This window comes from Homo sapiens, chromosome 9 (genome assembly GCF_000001405.40).
Source record: "Homo sapiens chromosome 9, GRCh38.p14 Primary Assembly".
NCBI lineage: Eukaryota > Metazoa > Chordata > Mammalia > Primates > Hominidae > Homo > Homo sapiens.
In genome coordinates this window covers 94,849,613-94,870,226 of record NC_000009.12, presented here as the reverse complement: position 1 = coordinate 94,870,226, position 20,614 = coordinate 94,849,613, and the positions used below count along the sequence as shown (strand labels likewise).

The 20,614-nt window shown below is 42.4% G+C and overlaps 1 protein-coding gene across 51 annotated transcripts in view, besides 3 other annotated features; it reads right to left on the bottom strand.

The window, feature by feature from the left end:
* AOPEP (aminopeptidase O (putative)) overlaps positions 1 to 20,614 on the bottom strand; it is a 423,526-nt gene that overhangs the window by 279,998 nt on the left and 122,914 nt on the right. The window lies entirely within an intron of this gene.
* Positions 3,938 to 4,107: an enhancer, noted in NCBI's record as "experimental_110389 CRE fragment used in MPRA reporter constructs". NCBI's record gives its function as "activates a minimal promoter by MPRAs in K562 erythroleukemia cells, with activity observed for the introgressed 9:97628487 or rs7848054 variant allele {active_cell/tissue: K562}" and the evidence as "EXISTENCE:reporter gene assay evidence [ECO:0000049][PMID:34662402]".
* Position 4,022: a transcriptional cis regulatory region, noted in NCBI's record as "Neanderthal adaptively introgressed variant 9:97628487 (GRCh37/hg19 assembly coordinates) or rs7848054 in the experimental_110389 CRE". NCBI's record gives its function as "modulates activity of the experimental_110389 enhancer by MPRAs in K562 erythroleukemia cells {active_cell/tissue: K562}" and the evidence as "EXISTENCE:reporter gene assay evidence [ECO:0000049][PMID:34662402]".
* Positions 8,990 to 9,039: an enhancer, noted in NCBI's record as "active region_28636". NCBI's record gives its function as "activates an Ori minimal core promoter by ATAC-STARR-seq in GM12878 lymphoblastoid cells {active_cell/tissue: GM12878}" and the evidence as "EXISTENCE:reporter gene assay evidence [ECO:0000049][PMID:35858748]".

The window sequence follows — 20,614 nt, the reverse complement described above, 5'->3', positions numbered from 1 at the left end:
CCTGAGGTCAGGAGTTCGAGACAAGCCTGGCTAACATGGTGAAACCCCGTTTCTACTAAAAATACAAAAAATTAGCCAGGCATGGTGGCGTGTGCCTATAATCCTAGCTACTTGGGAGGTTGAGGCAGGAGAATCGCTTGAACCCAGGAGGCGGAGGTTGCAGTGAGCCGAGATCGCACCATTGCATTCCAGCTTAGGCAATAAGAACGAAACTCTTTCTCAAAAAAAAAAAAAAAAAAAAAAAAAAAAAAAAAATTCATGGCTTCTATTCCTCCCTCTCCTGCCTGAGGACGAAGTGCCCAATCATGTTCCATCTTTCCTATTAGGGGAGAAATCAATTTGATAATGCCACTCCTATCAAAGGGTCACACTTAATATTACAAACTGTAAAAAGTAATGAGTATAATGAGATTGGGCAATGATTACCTAAAGGAAAAATCTGTGGAGAGAGATTCACAGCAGATACGCTGTACTCAGATGACATTCTACAGATAAGTAATCATTCATTCTGCTTCTGGGTAACACGAGCCGTATCTGGCTTTGATTCTATATTTCTACAGGCTTCCTTTTACACTAATTCAATTTCATTTGAAGGTAAATGGTCTAACCCAAAAAACATTACCAACCCCATTCTATGTGGGCTGTGCCATCCCACAGCAATTGATTGCCAAGAGACACTAGTAAACTTTTCCAGCCCACATTCCGCCCAGACAATGGGCTGAGTGGAAACTCAATACAACAGATAAGGGTTGATGACTCAAGTCTCCAAACAAATTTTTGGTTAAATACAGCCTCAAAAGCTAATCACTACATGCACCCCACCCAAGCTAGAAATAGGGCATTCACTAACAGTCAACAACTTAAAGGATCAAAAACTTGGAACTTCAGACACATAAAATTAAACTGGACACAAAGGCTATTGCCACAGCAACATGGACAAATTTTTAAAACATACAGCAAATGTCTTTATTTTTATTTATTTTTTATTTTTATTTTTTGAGACGGAGTCTTGCTCTGTCACCCAGGTTTGAGTGAAGTGGCGCAGTCTTGGCTCACTGCAGCCTCTGCCTCCCAGGTTCCAGGGATTATCTTGCCTCAGCCTCCCAAGTAGCTGGAATTACAGGTACACACCACCATGCCCAGCTAATTTTTGTATTTTTAGTAGAGAAGGGGTTTCACCATGCTGGCCAGGCTGGTCTCGAACTCCTGACCTCAAGTGATCCACCTGCACTGGCCTCCCAAAGTGCTGGGATTATAGGCGAGAGCCCCCATGCCTGGCCAAAAACATACAGTAAACGTTTTGAGAGGAAAAAACAAGCTGCAGGTTCCTAATGACACTGTCCACATTAAGTTTTAAAATATGGCAAGCAATACTAAATACATTCCGAATACACATGAAGTAAAATAATAAAGATACACATGAGAATAGAAAATTATAGTGGTTGCTGGGAGAGGGGCAGGGAAAGGAATGAAATCAGGGAAGGTAACATAGGGAGCTTCCACTGCATTGGCCTGTGTAGTCACAAGGCCCCACTCATCCCACACTTGGTTTAATGATCTGCTGTCACTGTCTTGAAACTCCTGTTAATGTTATCTTTGGACCTACGCTTTGTAAGTGAAATCTGATGCAGCAATGGAGCATGCATGGGAGCAAAGAAGCTTGGTGCAAAATGAAAATATGGGACACACAAATTATGTGTGTCTGCCACCATTTCTCACCACCTCATCCATACTAGCAGTCAAAATGCCCATGAACAAAGAATTCCAGTGGACCCTCAATGCACGGGAATTCGGTGAGACTCAAAGTGAGTACAAGGTAGCCGTGTTACATCTAAAATTGAAGAAAATAGATGTTCTCAAGTCAGCAAGCACAGTCCTTGAGATCAAGTGATTTGCAGGTATGATTACTCCCAGACAACTGCCTTCCCCAAACTGGTGAACTGCACTATTTCTGGTACATCTCAGTCTGGAAAGAAGAGGAAGTCACCTGTGGCCTCCAAGCTGCTTTACTAGGGAATGAGTGACACAGGCCTGCTATCCCAGTTGTTATGACCATTCGTGCTAAAGCAGCCTAGGAATTAGTAATTTTGGTCAGTTGTTTTAGTCAGCATTGGATTCGTTCATTTGCAGCTTTGGAATTTTTCTTAGTCATCAACAAATCTTTAAATTGGTGGTCACTGTCTGTAGGCAAATCTCCAGAGTGTTCTGTCAGAATGGAAAACAGCCAGGGGAGCATGGGTTGAGAAAACAGGAAGGATTTATATTATAAACATGTTACTCTGTCCGGCCTCTCATTTTCCTGGCTGGTCTGAAGTTATAGCTTTATTTGATACTTTGACATGGTTGAAATGAAAGGCAACTGGCTTAAATTACCTCGTTACAGGGAAGTGACTGCACCAGTATATAAGAAGCCAGGTTTATTCACCAAGAAATGTTCCCTGATATTCCGAATCAGAACAGATCCTATCAGGGCTGGGAAGACTTTCTGAAGAATGATAAGGGGTGCTGACTACAGTTTCATTCTAACTTCAGGCCAAGGTGTTTGCAAAGGGAGCATTCAGCTATCCTGGCTAGAAAACTAGGTGTCTTCCAGTCAGGAAAAGAGTCTGACAGAATAAGAAATCAGAAAGAAAAGCAAATCTACTCTTCAGTGTATGAGGTGAATGTTATCACTGTTTTAATGTACATTCAAATAATATGGGCTACGCAAAGTAGGAAGAATGCCTCAGATACAGTATTTTCTTTCCCTCTGTGAATCGTGTGGAACAGGCAGACTTATACGTGGACTGCTGAGGCTGACACTGAAGTGACCTCTGAAAGCAAACAGGCCAGGGAAACTGTTACGTAAACTGAAATGACTAGACATTCCAGGCCACCTCGGCCGAGAGTGGGCCGTGCTGACTACAGCCTGGTACCTGGAAATAGCAAGTACTTCTAAACAGAAAGGGGATAAATGCAAATCTTCTGTGATTTTACATTAAGCGTTGTATAAAATTTTGTTAAGTGAAGGAAATCTAAAACACTTCAAAATTTCAGAGAAAAGCTTTATAAACTTGATAGGTAATAACAGAAAGGCTTTGCTGTTTCAAATCTGAATGGTAGGAAGTAAATTTAATCAAAATAGCAGGCAGCAGACTGAAAAGTATATAATACAATATGGACTAATGTGTCATTAGCTCATCTTCACTGCAATGAGATTAGCTTCCCATAGCATCATAATTAGATCTTGGAATTTTGCTGGGTTAGATTTATGTCCAAATGACATACAGCCAGAAATAAGTTTCATGCATTTCACACCAACATTTTGACTTATTTTAAATAAGGCTGCTATTAAAAAATCCTCACATTTTATAAACTGATTATGAGTCACCAAACTCTTCAAAATCCCTTAAGTAAACAGTCTAAAAAATCCAATTTGAACACTGGTTACATTGATGCTGGCTGTATTTTTAATCAACCAATAAGCTTTATTTGTAAAACCAAAGATTTGGTTTGAAAAAGACTTATATTTGATGTACTTCACACCAAAAATTTCCATATTCAAATAAATTGTTTTTATAAAAATCCTACAATTCTATATACTGATTGAAATCATCAATCTCTTCTAATGCCTTTTCTTAAAGTAAACAATCTAAAATTTTGAAAGGTAGCTTCCTTGATGCTTGAAGCTACCTTCAAATTTTAGATTTTACATGTAAAGCCTATTAGTTTATTAAAAACATTATTATGATTAGTTTTTAATGAACTAGTAGACATCATTTGTAAAATTTAAAGTTTGGTTTCCAAATGCCAGGAGGCCTGGGTAGAATCATCAGAGAGGAGTCCTGTATTTCCTTTGTGCATGAGAGTTAATAGGATTAGGGCTGGAAGAATTGAATAAACCCTGAGCTGGTTAAGATGGATGTATCACATTTCAGAGTCCCCATTTCATAACCGGCATGCCCCACATTTCACAAAATAAAACACGCTGGTGAGCTTATTTAAATGATTCTTCAGAAATACACTGATTTCAGAAACTTGAAAAGGGCACGCATGTCCATCTCCCCCTTGAGCCACATGGCTCTTTGTGTGCTCGGCCCTCCTGGCTTCAGGCCGACTCCTGCTTCCCAGTCAGTGACTCCTTGCTACGGTCTGGTTACATGGAAAAAGAGAATAAAGACTTTTGTGTTCGGAGAATTTCTGTACGTAAATTAATAGTTTCTAATTTTCACAATGATGCCATTTGCAATGGCCCTCATCTCTGTAAATGTAGCAAATCTGAGTTAAAATGCCAAAGACCTGTTACCTTCCTCTAGATCCTGTCATGGAACAGGGGTCTGCTGCTTTCTGCTATCAAGGTGGTTATTATCAAGTATAATTTGCGGTTGGAAATGTTTGGCATTCCTGTCTAGCAGTAGCCCAGATTGTTTAGAATAGATTTTTACATAAGAGTTCCAACATCTGTCTGTTTTAGGTCAGATTTCTGTGAGAACCTATGCATATAGTCTCTAAACATATGCAGCTGTCCAAGATTAAACAGGAATGGTTTCTTGCATTACAGTGACAACAAAGGGTCAAGTTTAAATTAAGAATATAAAAATAAGGCTAAGAATGGTAAGCAAAAGGCATTTCCACCCTACAAAATGCCAAGTAATGTTACCAATTAAAAGTGGGCTTGAAAGCAGTTTAAGCCCTAGCCTAGCAAAAGACTCACTAATCAGCAATTTATAACACCAATATGCCTATGGACTGAAATGCAGCATTTCAATTTCATTACAGATTCCTTTCATTTGTAATTCCTGTTACAGAAATCAGTTCGTTTGAAGTGAAGAGTGGTTATTAAATAAAAGCTGTATATAAAACTGTGAAGAAACTTAACATCAAATTTTGGAAAGGAAGTAAAAAAAGAATTAAAACAAGCTGCGATGCTCTTAACAAAGACACACAAAACCTGTTACTAGGAGAGTCGTTTGGTCAAATTTCCTGTTTTTTCCTAAGTCCTCATTTGTTTTAAATATGTCGTCAGCACAGAGTTTATTGCTGTTGATTAACGTTTCTACATGTAAAATCCAGAACCATTCTCTAGGATTTCTTATTTAAAGATATTCCAAACAATGCAGATTCCCTTTTTTCTCCAGATTCTGGTCTTCATCATAGTTAGGAGATGATAAACCATGGATTTAAATAGCTGAAAATTAGTGTTAGACACTAGAAAATTACTCGAGTGTGTGTTAATGAAGGAGTCGTAAAATGAAGATTGTATAAAATAGCTCCTTAACCCTAAGCAATTTTAGTACAAGACTCCAGAAATCAGCGTGGAGTGTTAAAAAGTACATCAAATCAAAGCCACACAAGTGTTGCTGATGGCTCTTTGTTTTACTCACATTTTAAAAAAATCTCTCCTGCAAAGACAGATCTGGCTCTAACAGCAACCTATTATAAAATTAAAATAACTGAATTATACTGTTGTGTATGAAATGCAGGAAAATAAAAATTCCTACCTTGGGAAAAAAGTATAAAACATTAATATTTTTCTAAGTATTTTATAAATTACATTGCTTTATTAAACACATACCATTAGAAGTCTCTTCTATTACTGACAACACTTTTCTTAATGGTCTTTACATGTTTAAATAAATGGCTCCTGAAAATGTGCATTCATATTATATAAATAAAACCTTAATTAATATAAACATACCCAGATATAAACTTTTTAGAAATGTCAGCGTAAAACTTTCCAGTCTAAATAAATCCTCTTATGAATGGTCCAGCAAAGCAATTTTTAACGCATTTTTTTCCCCTCTAAAAAACTCATAGAGATTTACTGGCACAATCCAAAAGAGAAACCAAAATAGCTTTGATGAAGACTGAATGTCTCATTCATATAATAAGCAACTGAGTAATAGCCAATAAATGGAAAAGTTTTTAAACCAAGACCATGTGACTTTTTTCATATAGTACTTACTATTATCTCATAATTATTTCGTTCATTTATTTGTCCTCCTGTGTATTGTCTCCCCATGCTGAATTGTCATCTTTCTGAGAGTAAAGGCCATATCAGTCTTTTCTCTGTTCTATCTCTAATAATTACCACAGAACATAGCAGATGCAAAAAGTGGCTCACTGAGGAATTCATAAAGGGTCTGATAAGGCTAAAAAGACAGTTATTTCAGCATACCTTATTTCATCCAAATTGGCCCATGTGTGGGAGTATCCAGCTATTTTCCCCCTTCTTCCTCAGTACCCCCAAGTTTCCACTGAATACATGGCTATCTAGAATGAAGCCTGTATTCTCCAACCTCCCTTGCAGCTAAGTGTCACTAGGTTTGAACTGGTAAGATGCAAGCGAAAGTATTCTGCAGCAGCTTCTGGGAAAGCTCCTTGAAGGACAGTTGGTGCAGGCCTTTCACTCTTTCTTCTTCCTCCTTTCCTCCTTCCTGCTGCCTACAATGTGCATACACATACACTTGCTGCATTTCCAAAAGCTATTATGTACTATGAGTTGACCCTGAGAATGAAAATCATATGCTATGGCCAGGCGTGGTGGCTCACGTCTGTAATCCCAGCACTTTGGGAGGCCGAGGCGGGTGGATCACTTGAGGCCAGGAGTTCAAGACTAGCCTGGCCAACATGGCAAAACCCTGTCTCTACTAAAAATTCAAAAATTAGCTGGGCGTTGTGGCATGCACCTGTAATCCCAACACTTTGGGAGGCCATGCAGGCGGATCACCTGAGGTTAGGAGTTTGAGACCAGCCTAGCCAACATGGCAAAACCCCATCTCTACTAAAAATATAAAAAATTAGCCAGGCGTGGTGGTGGGCGCCTGTAGTCCCAGCTATTCGGGAGGCTGAGGCAGGAGAATGGCATGAACCCAGGAGGCAGAGCTGGCAGTGAGCCGAGACCACGCCACTGCACTCCAGCCTGGGTGACAGAGCGAGACTCCGTCTCAAAAAAAAAAAAAAAAAAGAGAAAAAGAGAAAGAAGAGGGAAACAGAGAGAGGAGAGGGGAGGGGAGGGGAAGAGAGGGGAGAGGAGAGAAAGAAATCATAGGCTAGGATGGTAGAGCAGCAGGAGAGAAGCGAGAAGCAGCCCCGGTTCCCACTCCACCCTGGCCTCTCTACCTGTGCCCTTGTTTCATATGGGGAAAGAAGGAAACTTCTGTCTTACCTAAGTCATTATTTCAAGTGTTCTGTCACGCACAACCAAATTAAATCTTGCCATTATGCTTTTGAAAATAATTTGGAAAACAAGTCCATGTAGACTTTATGTGTGTCTTTTTAAACCTATTACTCGACGAACACACTGAAACTCTTTTCTAGTGAATGATCAAGTATTTGTGCGCATATACTTTGTCCCGAGAATTAAGCCTAACACTATGAGAGAATATAAAGAAGTCCAAGACGGAGTTCTTGTCCTTAGGAAGTTAGTGAGTTTGCCACTGAGAAAGGACAAACACGCACCACCTATCCTCTCTCCCAACACATCCACCCAGAGGAAACAACATGAGGCAACAAAGTGCAAAACTGTGCAGTGTGATTGCAAGTGGGGATGGAATCCAGAAACCAAAAACAGGGAGGACGGAGACTCTGGGAGAAGGTTCCAGGGAGGCGCTGGCCCTTAAGGTGGGCCTTGCAGGAGGGGCAGAACCTGGAGATGCAGTGGAAACTGGCTGAGCATCCTCAAGGGTGGGGACCAGTCGCAGGCAAACCGCTGTTTCAGTAATGAACAGAGCATGTTCAAGGAGACTGGAAGGAGGTCAACCAGACGTGTGGCCTCTGGAAACAGAGCCCTCCCTTTTCTCAGGACATGGTTTCTCAGCCTTGAAAAAGAGTCCCTTTAAAGGATGATTTACCTCCCCATTCACCCCACATCTGAGAGATCAATCTGTGCTCCAGATCCTCCCTGCCATGCATCTAACAGGCTTGACATTGCTCAGACATCCCTGAGCATCGCCCTGAGGTATGCCTGAGGCCCAAGAACACTGTTTTTCTGTGGGGGTCCTGCTCAGCCAGCCCAGTGACTTTGAAAGAAACGTCCTTTTTACTATGCAACAGGCACATGTGAAGTCTCACTCACATACTCTGATGAGGTGTTTCAAGTTAAACTGTTAGGTAGAGGTGGTGTGCTCTGCTTCCTATGTTGTGAAATAGTAATAAACCAACAGAATGACTGGTCATTGCTTCCAAAGAGGAGGCCAGGGAATTTAATCACTCACAAACTAGCCACGATCACAGGATGAAGCAACTTTCCTAGTAAGCTGCTTTTCATAAACAAAGCCGTTGTTGAGTTTTTAAAATCCAACCAAACAACAAACAACTCTGAGGACAAGAAGAGCACCGTCTAGCCTCATGAAAGACGTAGTGCAGCCTTCACTCGCAGAACGTGCTTCAGAAGAGCAGGTCCTACAGAAGCACGGAGGACCCGACCCATGCAGTTACAGGGAGGATGGCTGTGGAATCCAGGCTGCACCAGGTGTACTACTCGTCAAGCACTGGCTGATGAGAGGGCCTGCACATTCAGTGGTTTTATATCGGGGGTTGGGAACAGTAAATAACATCTCTGGGATCTAGTCTAAGACAAATGAAACCAAATGACTCTTTTTCCAAAAATGGGCCTAAAACAGCTCATGGGAACCACCCCTGGCAGCCTGGTGGAGCAGGAAAGCACAGGCCAGGTGTGAAGAGACCTGAGTGCCAGCTTGGCTCTGTTGTCATGGAAGTCGTTGTTGACCTTGGTTGCTTAATCTGTAAATTAAGGGAGTTCAACTGGAGATGACCCATCCCTGATACTCATTGTGGCACTAATGATGACTCTGTGTCAGTAACAGATGAATACACAGGAAAGAACCAGTATATGTTTCTCTCTTCATCTTCTTTTCTGCCCATCACCATTTCTCCATATGCCCCCACATCATATTAATTTGCCAATTAATAAACAGCCATCCTCAGTTGCAATGTCATCTGAAGCTCAGTGGATTTCATGCTTGTTTGGTGACAGCAGCTGCTGCTGCTGCCCTCAAACCACATCCTTCCCCTTCGTCATGAAGCCTCCTCGAGAGCCACAATTTGCCTTGGCCAGAGCTCCCCGTACGTCAGCTTCCACCAGAAACTGCCATCCATATGCAGAGTTCTGGTTCATCAGCCCCTCTGAAGCAGATCCAGCTGGCCACAGTGGATTCCAGGTGGTCAAGACCAAAGAATCTCATAGCATTGTCAGCACACTGAAGCTGAAAGAAACCGCAAAAAGCACCGAATCTGACTGCCCCCAATTTGTAGATGAGGACACTGATGCCCTAAGAGGTTTATTTATCTAACATGGACTAGCCAGAGCTAGAACCCAAGTCTCCTGACTCAACGGTCAATTATGACTTTGAAATGGACAGAATTAGAAGCTACTAAAATCTACTATTTATGGTGTGCTCTGTGTCAGGCACTGTGCTAAGTGGCTTCTTAAACCTGACATGTACAGAGAACTCAGAATCTTTTCTCCTAATCTGCTCCTCTTCCTGTCCTCCCCACATTAGTCAATGGAGCACCCATCCATCCAGCGGCTTCTGCCAGAAACTCGGGAGTCACCCTTGACATCTCCCTCTTCCTCATCATCTCCCCATATAAAACTCTCAAGTCCTGCATTCTCCAGAGCATATCTTGGAACTCTCCAATTTTCCCCACCAGCACCCTCTCCACCCAGGTCTAAGCCACCTTCATCTCCTGCCTGGATTGCGGCCACACATCATCTCATCTCACCATTCCACTGCCACTACTCCTGTCGCTTCATTCTAGAACCAGAAACCTGAGCAATCTTGTCAAAACATAAGCCAGGTCACGACCTGCCCACCCCGTCCCCACCCTTGCCACTGCTTAAACCTGCTGGGCTTCCCAATACGCTCAGAATGAAGCTCAGATTTATATGAGGCCCTGCTTGGTCTGACGCCCTTATGATGCTGCCAATCTCATTTCACGCCAATCTTCCCATAGGTCACTAAATTCCATGAACACTTCTTTCGGGTCCTCCAAAGTTCCAAGTTGCTTCCAATCACAGCCTGTCCTCCTGTATAATATGCCCTTCTTCCTACTCCTGGCCTGGCTCACGTTCCACTGCCCTTCAGGTTTCAGCTTCTACATCACTGCCTCAGAGGCACCTGCCCCAAGGCCCTGCCAGGAGTGTTTCCTCTAACCCTGCATTCCTCCCACACAGGACTGACCAGTTTGTCGTACTCCATTTTTGAGAATATTTGTTTAATAACTATCTATCTCCCCAACCAGACTATAAGCCCCTTGAAGACAGGGACTGTCTCTATTTGTTCATCACTGTAGCCGAAGAATTTAGTGTTCAGTACATAGGACGCCCTAAATAAGTGTCTGCTGAATTTATTTATCAATTAGTTTACAGAAAACTTGAGTATAATAGTGCCTGTCATTTACAGATGAGCAAACAAAAGCATAAAGAACTTAAGCAATATGCCCAAGACCTAGAATAAGTAAGTAGCACAGAAGAGATTCCAACACAGGTTAGCTGACCCCAAAGCCCATGCCCTTAACTCAGATCACACCAGGATGGAATAGGCTGAGAGAAGATATAAGAGGCAGTAAGCCTTGATGCTTACTTGATTCATATGGAACAAATAGAGTCTGTGAAAGGCTGAAAAACAGCTCCCCAAAAGATATTCATATCCTAATTCCTGGAACTGTGAATGTTACCTTCTATGGGAAAAAAAGAAAAGCAAGCATGGGTCTTTGCAGATGTAATGAAGTTAATAAGGATCTTGAGTTAGTCAGATTATCCTAGATTATCTGCATGGGCCCTAAATGCAATCACACATGTCCTTGTAAGAGGCAGGCAAAGGGAGATTTGGCAGACAGAGGACATGGGGATGTGAAGACAGTGCCGACAGAGATTTGAAGATGACCTTAGTTCAGGCTGCTAGAACAAAGTACCACAGACTGGGTGCTTATAAACAGAAATTTATTTCTCACACTTCTGGAGGCTGGAAATGTGAGATCAGTATGCTAGCACGGTCAGGTTCTTATTGAAGACCCTCTTTCTGGTTTGCAGATGACTGCCTTCTCATTGCATCCTCACATGGTAAAGAACAGAGAGGGAAAACAAGCTCTTGTGTCTTTTTGCTTTGAGACAGAGTCTCACTCTGTCGCCCAGGCTGAAGTGCAGTGGCACAGTCAGCTCACTGCAACCTCCACTTCCAGGTCTTCTTTTTTTTTGAAATGGAGTCTCGCTCTGTCGCCCAGGCTGGAGTACAGTGCTGCAATCTTGGCTCACTGCAAGCTCCGCCTCCCGGGTTCACACCATTCTCCTGCCTCAGCCTCCTGAGTAGCTGGGACTACAGGCACCCGCTACCACACCCAGCAGACAGGGTTTCACCATGTTGGCCAGGCGGGTCTCCAACTCCTGATCTCAGGTGATCTGCCCGCCTTGGCCTCCCACAGTGCTGAGATTACTGGTGTAAGCCACCGAGCCCAGCCTCAGTGTGTTTTATAAAGCACTTATAGCATTAATGAGGGCTCCACCCTCCACCCTCATGACCTAATCACCTCCCAAAGGCCCCACCTCCTAATCCCATCACATCAGTGAGTTAGGATTTAAACACATCAACTCTGGGAGGGACATAAACATTCAGTCCATAGCAAAGATGTTGGCGATGTTGGCTTTGAAGACTGGAGTGATGTGGCCACAAGCCAAGGAACATCAGTGGCCACCAGAAGCTGGAAGAGGTAAGGAATAAGATTCTCCCCTGGAATCTCAGGAGGGAGTGTGGCCCTGCTGCCACCTTGATTTTAGCCTACTGGTCGTACTGATTTCAGCCTTCTGGTCTCCAGAACTGTGACAGAATCCATTTCCATTGTTTTAAGTCACCAAGTTCGTGTTAATTTGTTACAGCAGACACAGGAAACTAATATAGAATCCATAACGTTATTTTGCTAAAACACAGAGGTTTACATCTGGAAAGGTTTTACTCCCTACTTCCCCCATCTGTACAGCGCCAGATATTTCAGACACAGATAAACACAGCACCTCCATTCTTAGCACCATTTCCACTATACATACCCTAGGCCAAGAATCAGCATTGAGGAATCGGAAAATCGGAAGACAAAACGATGTAACAATTAACCAGGGTTCTAAATGTGTTTTTGTTTTTTTTTTTTTTCAAACTAGAACTAGAAATGCTTCAGGCCAGACGTGGTAGCTCAGCTACAGGCTGAGCTGGGAGACTTGCTTAGTCCCAGGAGTTGGAGGTTGCAGTGAGCTATAATCACACCAGGGTACGCCAGTGTACGCAGTGAGATCCTGTGTCTTAAAAAAATAAAAAATGCTTCAAAGCCCAGCACTTACGTGAAAACCAACGTAAATGATGTCTTAACATAGCTTCCAAAATGTTTTTGGATCCACAGAGATCTGTGTTTTCATTTTTGCCATACAATAAGTAACCTGTAGTAGATAAGCAACTGCTTTAAAATAGCTAAATAATCACATTCCATGAAATGATAAGCCTGTACTTGCAAGTTCACCTTTCAGCCTCACTTTGGGTCCTTGTTCTGCATCATATACTGGGGTTTGGCTTGAAATACCGTTAACTCACTCTGCTTGAAGACAATCTGTAATTTTATAAGATAGATAGGTAGAAATATAAATTTTAATGGCTTGTTTTAACATCCTAAGAAGTCAAATAATATTTACAAGGTGAGATACACTGAGAAGAAAAACATTTTAACATACTCTCAATCTCTCCTCCCAGAAGACAAGGAAAATGCGCTCCTACCAGAGCAGCCATCTTGCTATTATTCCATCCAGTTTCCAGATGGGAAAGGAATATTAAGTCGTTGGAGATTAATCCTACCAAAGCAAATCGGAAATTTCCAAAGCTGTTGTCAATATGGCTCTGCAGTTTAAGATGAACATACATGAGGTGAATTCGCAGCAGTTAAAACATGGTTGAAGAAATGACGATCATAAGAACTGCTATAAGAGAACATAACACGAACTCTATGATGAGAGGGATAGAGAAAAGATGGTTGAGGAAACTAGGTGAGCTGACTTCAGGTTGCTGAATCTTCACAGAGACAGAAGGGTGAGGATATTTCCATGTAAGAAAATGTCCTGAGCAAAGATATTTTTTCAGAGAGCCCAGAGCAGCTTTGGAAAGCAGTTAGAAAAACTTTAAAGTACTTCACTTACAATAATATGTCCAGAGCAGGAAAGAACTTTTAAGTTCAACAGCCCCATTTTATAGACGAAAAACTGAGGCAAAAACAGGTTAGGTCACGTCCCCAAGGACAAGCACCTGGTAAGTGGCCAAGCTGTGATCCAAATTTGGGCCTTTTAGACCCTCTTCTAGTACTGTCTGTTGGGCCATGAGCGAACTCTTTGCCTCTCCATGTTTATTTCAGATGCTAGAGGTGTGTCTACCAGCTTAAATAATGAATGACAAGCTACCTTTTATTTCTTATAGGCCAATTAATGTTTAAGCACTATGAATCTATCCTATGAGTCGCTTCAACCAAATTGCTTTTTACCAATTCTTTGTAATACGACATTTACACAAATGCCACCCCTCATCATCTACCTGCTTTTTTTTTTTTTTTTTTTTTTAAGACGGAGTTTCACTCTTGCTGCCCAGGCTGAAGTGCAATGGCACGATCTCGGCTTACCACAACCTCTGCCTCCCGGGTTCAAGTGATTCTCCTGCCTCAGCCTTCAAAGTAGCTGGGATTACAGGCATGCACCACCATGCCTGGCTAATTTTGTATTTTTAGTAGATACAGGTTTTCTCTATGTTGGTCAGGCTGGTCTCAAACTACCAACCTCTGGTGATCCGCCCGCCTCAGCCTCCTAAAGTGCTGGGATTACAGGCGTGAGCCACCGCACCCGGCCTTCTGCTGCCTCTTTTACCCTGGCGTCTCCTTGATCTCATGGGTAGTAAATAGCTATTTGGCCCAATTATTTTTACTGAGACTACCTAGCTTTTATACCTGAGTCCTTACCCGCCACACTGAAGAAAAAAACCTGTGCTAACACTATACCTGAGTACAGACACTCAGCAGGTGTGGACGTGTGCATGCTGGTCTATGAACACGTGGCCTGAGTCAAATGCACAGACATGGCACATTCCCAGCCATTCGTGGTCAGGGCCATTAAGCTCTCTGCTGCTGTGCCTCCACCCTAGAGCTGATGCCTGGAAAAGCTGCTTTGTGGCCTCAGTAGATAGAACATAGGGTGTGAGCAACCCCAGGCAAGAAACCTACGTATAAGTCCCATTGCTGGGGTTCTTATTCTAATGTTTCCTCAATGGTGACATCTGATAATAGGAGCATGCCTGTCCTTTGTTATATATATTCTTTCAGTCTCACCCCAGAATCTAAGAAGAGGACACCTGTGACTTTGTATAATGTAGGTTACATAAGGATAATTTATATATTTTCTCTATTTCTAGGTCATCATTTATCAAGCTTAATGAGCATTTGACCCACATGCGAACCACCAGTTCTAGGCAAATTAAAAACAAGATGCCCCACAATTTCTTTTTCTTTTTTTTATTTTTTGAGACAGAGTTTCGTTCTTGTTGCCCAGGCTGGAGTGCAGTGGCGCAATCTTGGCTCACCACACACAACCTCCACCTCCCAGGTTCAAGCGATTCTCCTGCCTCAGACTCCCGAGTAGCTGGGACTACAGGCATGCGCCATCACGTCTGGCTAACTTGTATTTTCAGTAGAGACAGGGTTTCTCCACGTTGGTCAGGCTGGTCTCGAACTCCCGACCTCAGGTGATCCGCCCGCCTCAGCCTCCCAAACTGCTGGGATTACAGGCGTGAGCCACCGCACCTGGCCCACAATTTCTAAATAATAAACTAAAACACGGCCAGGCCTGATGGCTCACACTTGTAATCCCAGCAATTTGGGAAGCCAAGGTGGGCAGATAACCTGAGGTCAGGAGTTCAAGACCAGCCTGGCCAATGTGGCGAAACCCCGTTTCTACTAAAAATACAAAAATTAGCCAGGCGTGGTGGCACACGCCTGTAGTCCCAGCTACTCAGGAGGCTGAGGTAGGAGAATCGCTTGAATCTGGGAGGCAGAGGTTGTGGTGAGCCGAGATTATACCATTGCACGACAGCCTGGGTGACAGAATGAGATTCTGTCTCAAAACAAAAATAAATAAAATAAAATATGCTAATTCTAAAATTATTTTAAAGAATAGGTTCATATCTATGAGCAGGATGATACTGTTTACAGTACTGTTTAGAGTATGTATAGAATCTGACATTTTATACATGCTTGTTACATGTATAATGACAAACAGTTTGAGTTGTCCTCCAGGTAGTTCATTTTCTTACTTTTTGTTTCTTCTAAGTTAGAACATCCTAACTCATATGTAGAGCTCGTTTGGTGCCTCTGTCAGATACATTTGGATGTTCCGATCCAACATAGTCCTACAAATTATGAGGTGATTTCATGTTTATTATGGTAAACATAAATTGATGGGCATATTAAATTCAAGAGCTAGAAGGCTGGGTTAAATGTTCCATCGGGGAAGAGAAATCAACAAATAGATGTGTAACCTGCTTTTGGTTGCAGTTAGCAAGCATGTTTTAGCATTTGGATGTCGTTTTAAAACATAACCTATAGTATGTCATTAGTTCTTTGACTAAGGAATAAAAATCCATTCATTCAGCAAATATTTAGTAGCTACTGGTGACACTGCTTGGCACTAGGGATACAGCTGGAAACCAGAAGATGGTCTCTGCCCTCACATACCTATAACAGGATTTCTTGTGCTTAGCATTAAAAATCTTAATGTTCAGCCTTAAAATAGCACATCATTTGAGAAAGCCACCTAAATAATAGAAATGGCCTTTAGAGACACTGTTCAGTGTCATGTTTTTAATTCATACCACATTCCAAAATCTTTCATGAGGCACCTTTGCCTCCAGTACATGACTTGCTGCCCATTTTCTTCATTTTTATAAGAAATTGTCACATTTTCACAATTCCTTTCAACTACAGTGTCAGCAGGCACAGTACAGACCACCACCTGCTCTCTGAAAATAAAATACTGCCGTCCACCATATTCTAATGCAACTTCTGAGTCATGTAACAATGTCCTTTTTGTCCTTTCTTACTGGTTGCCACTGACCCAACTTACCTTTTTCATTCTCCTTCATGACTCACAATATAATCATTAACCAAATCAAACAAAGCAGTCTTCTCTTACGATGTGGGTTTTCATTGAACAAAAACTCATCAGGCAATTCCCTTTCACATAAGTGCTGCGCATGTGCTAAGAGGTGATTGATAATCTGCCCATCACTGGTTCTGCCCAAGTGTGAAGTAAAAGCTCTGCTAGCATGTACCTATGAGAGTAACTGCTTCTCCATGCGTGTACCATGGATATTATACAATATCTGTCTGATGAAGAATACCCTATTCTGCTTTCTCTGCACATTAAACTCATCGTTAACGTCAAAGCTAATCTTACTAAGCTTTCCAATAGTAGTGCGACTTGTACCTTGTTTTCTCTGTGTGGAGTAGAGCTCTGAATATTGCCTCTGACATTTTTACCTAATTTCTGATATCACTGTAGAATCTCAAATTCAACATTTTCAAATCTCACTTTGAAAAACCACTATTTTGGATATGTTCTGGAAACAATAGGTTTATCTTTGTGTTTAAAAATAATAGAAAAGCTTCATGACTTCATGTCACCATCTGATAAAAGGACAGTACACAGTGAGTGAGGTGAGACTGAATGGACTGCTTGTTCGATAATTTTTTTTTTTTGAGATGGAGTCTCACTCTGTTGCCCACGCTGGAGTGCAGTGGCGCAATCTCAACTCACTGCAACCTCCACTTCCCAGGTTCAAGTAATTCTTCTGCCTCAGCCTCCCAAGTAGTTGGGACTACAGGCACACACCACCACACCCGGCTAATTTTTGTATTTTTAGTGGAGATAGGGTTTCACCATGTTTACCAGGCTGCTCTCAAACTCCTGACCTCAAGTGATCTGCCCACGTCGGCCTCCCAAACTGCTGGGATTAGGGGCATTAGCCACTGCGCCCAGCCTTGTTCAATAAAATCTAATTTCATATAGTAATAATTATTTTTTCCTTTTTTGGCTGTTTGTGTTAAATCATTCTACTCAAAGGAATCATTTGTCTCATCCACAACATATACATTTCTATATCTGTACTGTGGTCCTAGTCACTATAGTTCTAATATTTTTATGAATTCTAATATTTACTCGATTCATTCTATCTCTGCTTTTGCCCTTCAACACTGAGCCATTGAGCTATTTTTTGGAATTGGCGTAGAATACCTATAATCAATGAAAATTTGTGAATAAGAATGGCAGATAATGGAAAAATATATCAGCTGAGGTGAACTGCACTCAGCTGACCAAATACTAGCCAAGACAAAGTGATTAACACTCTTTTTGGCATATATATAATCTTAAAGATGATTAATAACAGGATTCCTACAACAATAATGATTCACACGATTTTTAATTAATAAAATACGTAAGAATAAAATGACTGCATTGATTTTTCCTCTGAAACTGCGAAAGCACCTGCAGATCACCTAACTGACTTTGGGGTATGGTGGTGGGGGGATCCCCCAGTGGTCTTTGAGCCACATTGAGAAACTCTGCTCTCAGTCTTCCAGCTTACATTAGTTAGGCTTGTGTAAACACACAGCCAAAAGTTGTCATGATATCCGATCCCACTGTCAATTCAAACTGAACTCCATGAAGAAGTATCTGTCTTCTCTCCTTGTTCCTTACCCTATGTCCAACTCCCAGCCACTGCTCTTCCCACCCTGGTCTATGCAAACCTCTCCTCAACATCTCAAGTCAGGAAGCCTGTGATACTAACATTGAACTAGGGTTGAATCCTACTGCTGTTCTTCTAAGGCAGTAATTCTCAACCTTGGCAACTCATTAAAATCATCTGGGGAGCTTTAAAAAAATTTCAAAGTACTGCTGCCTAGAAGCTACCCCAGATCAATTTAATCAGAATCTCTGGGGTGGGATCCAAGTACTTGTATTTTTAAAAGGCTTCTCTGGTGTAGGCAGGATGAGGATAACTGCCTAAGATGACACTGACATAAGGCATCTCCCATAGCAGCCGCTCAAATTATCATGTCTACGGGGTCCACCCTTGTTCTAGGTTCATCTCTCGTCAGGGCTACTGTGACAAGCTTCTTGTTGGATTCTCTGGATCCAGTGACATCTACTGTCATCACAGTTGTCAAACGGTCTTTGCTGTCTTTCCCTCTGGCTATGTCACTCTCTTCCTGCAACTCTCTTCCCAACTTGACTGCACACTGGAATCACGGAGGCCTATAAAGCACCAATGTCTGGGCTGTACCCCATACCAAATAAACCACCACCTCCAGGGATGGGAATCATGAGAGGGGTTAAAAAGCAGCTAGGATTGAGAAGCAGTATTCTAGGAGTTGCAGTATCTAGTATGACTACCACATCTAGGTTAATTTAGCTACTACAGATGAGCTTGTTCTGAGCTGACAGCCATTCTCAACAAGGAACTACTTTCGCTCAAGAGCTTACAGTCCACTGGCAAAGACAGACTTGAAAGACCAGTCATCAGATCACAGTGAAGTAAGTGCCAACAGAAAGATTAAACATCTTCTGAGGAGAGAGCAAGTAATGGCTGGTTAAGTTAGGGAAGGCTCGTCAGGGGAAATTATACTTGAACGAGGTCTGGAGGGAATCATCCAGCCCAAAGGATGAGGGGCAAAAGACGTTTTCTTAGAAACATACATTCATTCTTTAAAATATTTTAATTACCTATGCATACTGACACATAACATTTCTATTACATGTTTTTGATCAGTTAAGACAATGCTTCCCACTCTTTTAAATGCCATGATACAAAGAGAAAATATCTGCATATTCCCTGATTAAAGGAGGCTCTTACTGGTGGAGGTAACGGGCGTGGGACTCCAGCTGAGGGCAGCTAGATCTCAGCATACCGGTCACCCTTTGCATGCCAAGGCACGCCTGCAAGGACGCTCCAAATGAGCACCCCTTTGGCTACCAGTAACAGAAAAGCCAATTCAAACTGGCCTAAGCGACGATGGGTCTTTTCCTCTCACAGAATGAAAGGCACAGGGATGGGCACCTCCAAGTATAGACTGTCAGAGCTCCGCTTCTCCGTCATTTTCTTGGCTGTGCCTTACTTGGCATTGGTGTCATCCCCAGGCTGGTACCAGATTGCTGCCACATTGCTAGATGTGATCAGGTCAGGGGAGGAAGAGAGGTGTCCTTCCTTGTATGTCTATGTCTCCCTGTGAAGAAAGTTTTCTGAGAAGCCTGCAGAGAGTTACTCCTCATATTCCCGCAGCCAGAATCTTGTCAAATGTCCCTGCCTAACCCAATCTTTGGCAAGGAGAAATGCAACACCATGATCAGCTTAGATGAACCAGGATGAACTCACAGAAATGTGGACCAGATTTGCTTTCACACAGACACATAGGGAGGGGTAAACAACCACACAAAGTCAAGGATTTTCCAGCAAGTAAGACAGTGGGACTGGTTGTTGGGTAGGCAACCAATAGCGTTTGCCTCATATCAGAAAGAGGCTGTACAGCATCGTAATTAAGGGCACCACTCTGGAGTCGGGCGGTGAGCTCAAATTCCACTCTACCATTGCCAACTGAGTATATGGGCTTCAGTTTTTTTGTCTCTGAAAAGGAAATGATACGAGTTCCTAACTCGGGGTTGCTGGGAAGATGAAATGAGGATTAAAGGTACATTGCTTAGAAGCAACTCTGGCATATGTGCACATTATGATGTGGCTCAATGTTAGTGGTCATTTCTGTAGTGTCCGCCATGGGTTATAACAGCCAACAGGCAGGACCACATCTGTGGGTAAGACAGGTTTTCTCTGATTAGCACTGAGCCAGTGCCACACTCAATTAGACATTCAATAAGTTCATTTTTTTGCATATTAATAATTTAAAATCTATGTCTTCTTCTTGCTAATAAAAAATATGCTACCAACTAAAAAGTAACTTTTTTACAATTAGAAATACTTCTAAAGCAGAGGTGCTCACCCCGCAGGCTGGGGACTGTTAAGAACCAGGCTGCACAGCAGGTGAACCTCAGGCAAGTGAGCATTCTCGCCTGAGCTCTGCCTCCTGTCAGATCAGCAGCAGCATTAGATAGTCTTTTTTTTTTTTTTTTTGAGATGGAATCTCACTCTGTCGCGCAGGCTGGAGTGCCGTGGCATGATCTTGGCTCACTGTAACCTCCATCTCCCGGGTTCAAGCGACTCTCCTGCCTCAGCCTCCCAAGTAGCTGGGATTACAGGCTCACGCCACCACGCCTGGCTAATTTTTGTATTTTTAGTACACACGGGGTTTTGCCATGTTGGCCAGGCTTGTCTCGGACTCCTGACCTCAGGTGATCCACCCACCTCAGCCTCCCAAAGTGCTGGGATTACAAGCGTGAGCCACTGCGCTCCGCCTGGCATTAAATTCTCACAGGAGCACAAACCCAATTGTGAACTGTGCATGAGAGGGATCTAGGTTGCAAGCTCCTTATGTGACTCTAATGCCTGATGATTCGAAGTGGGACAGTTTCATCCCTAAACCATGCCCTCCTCCC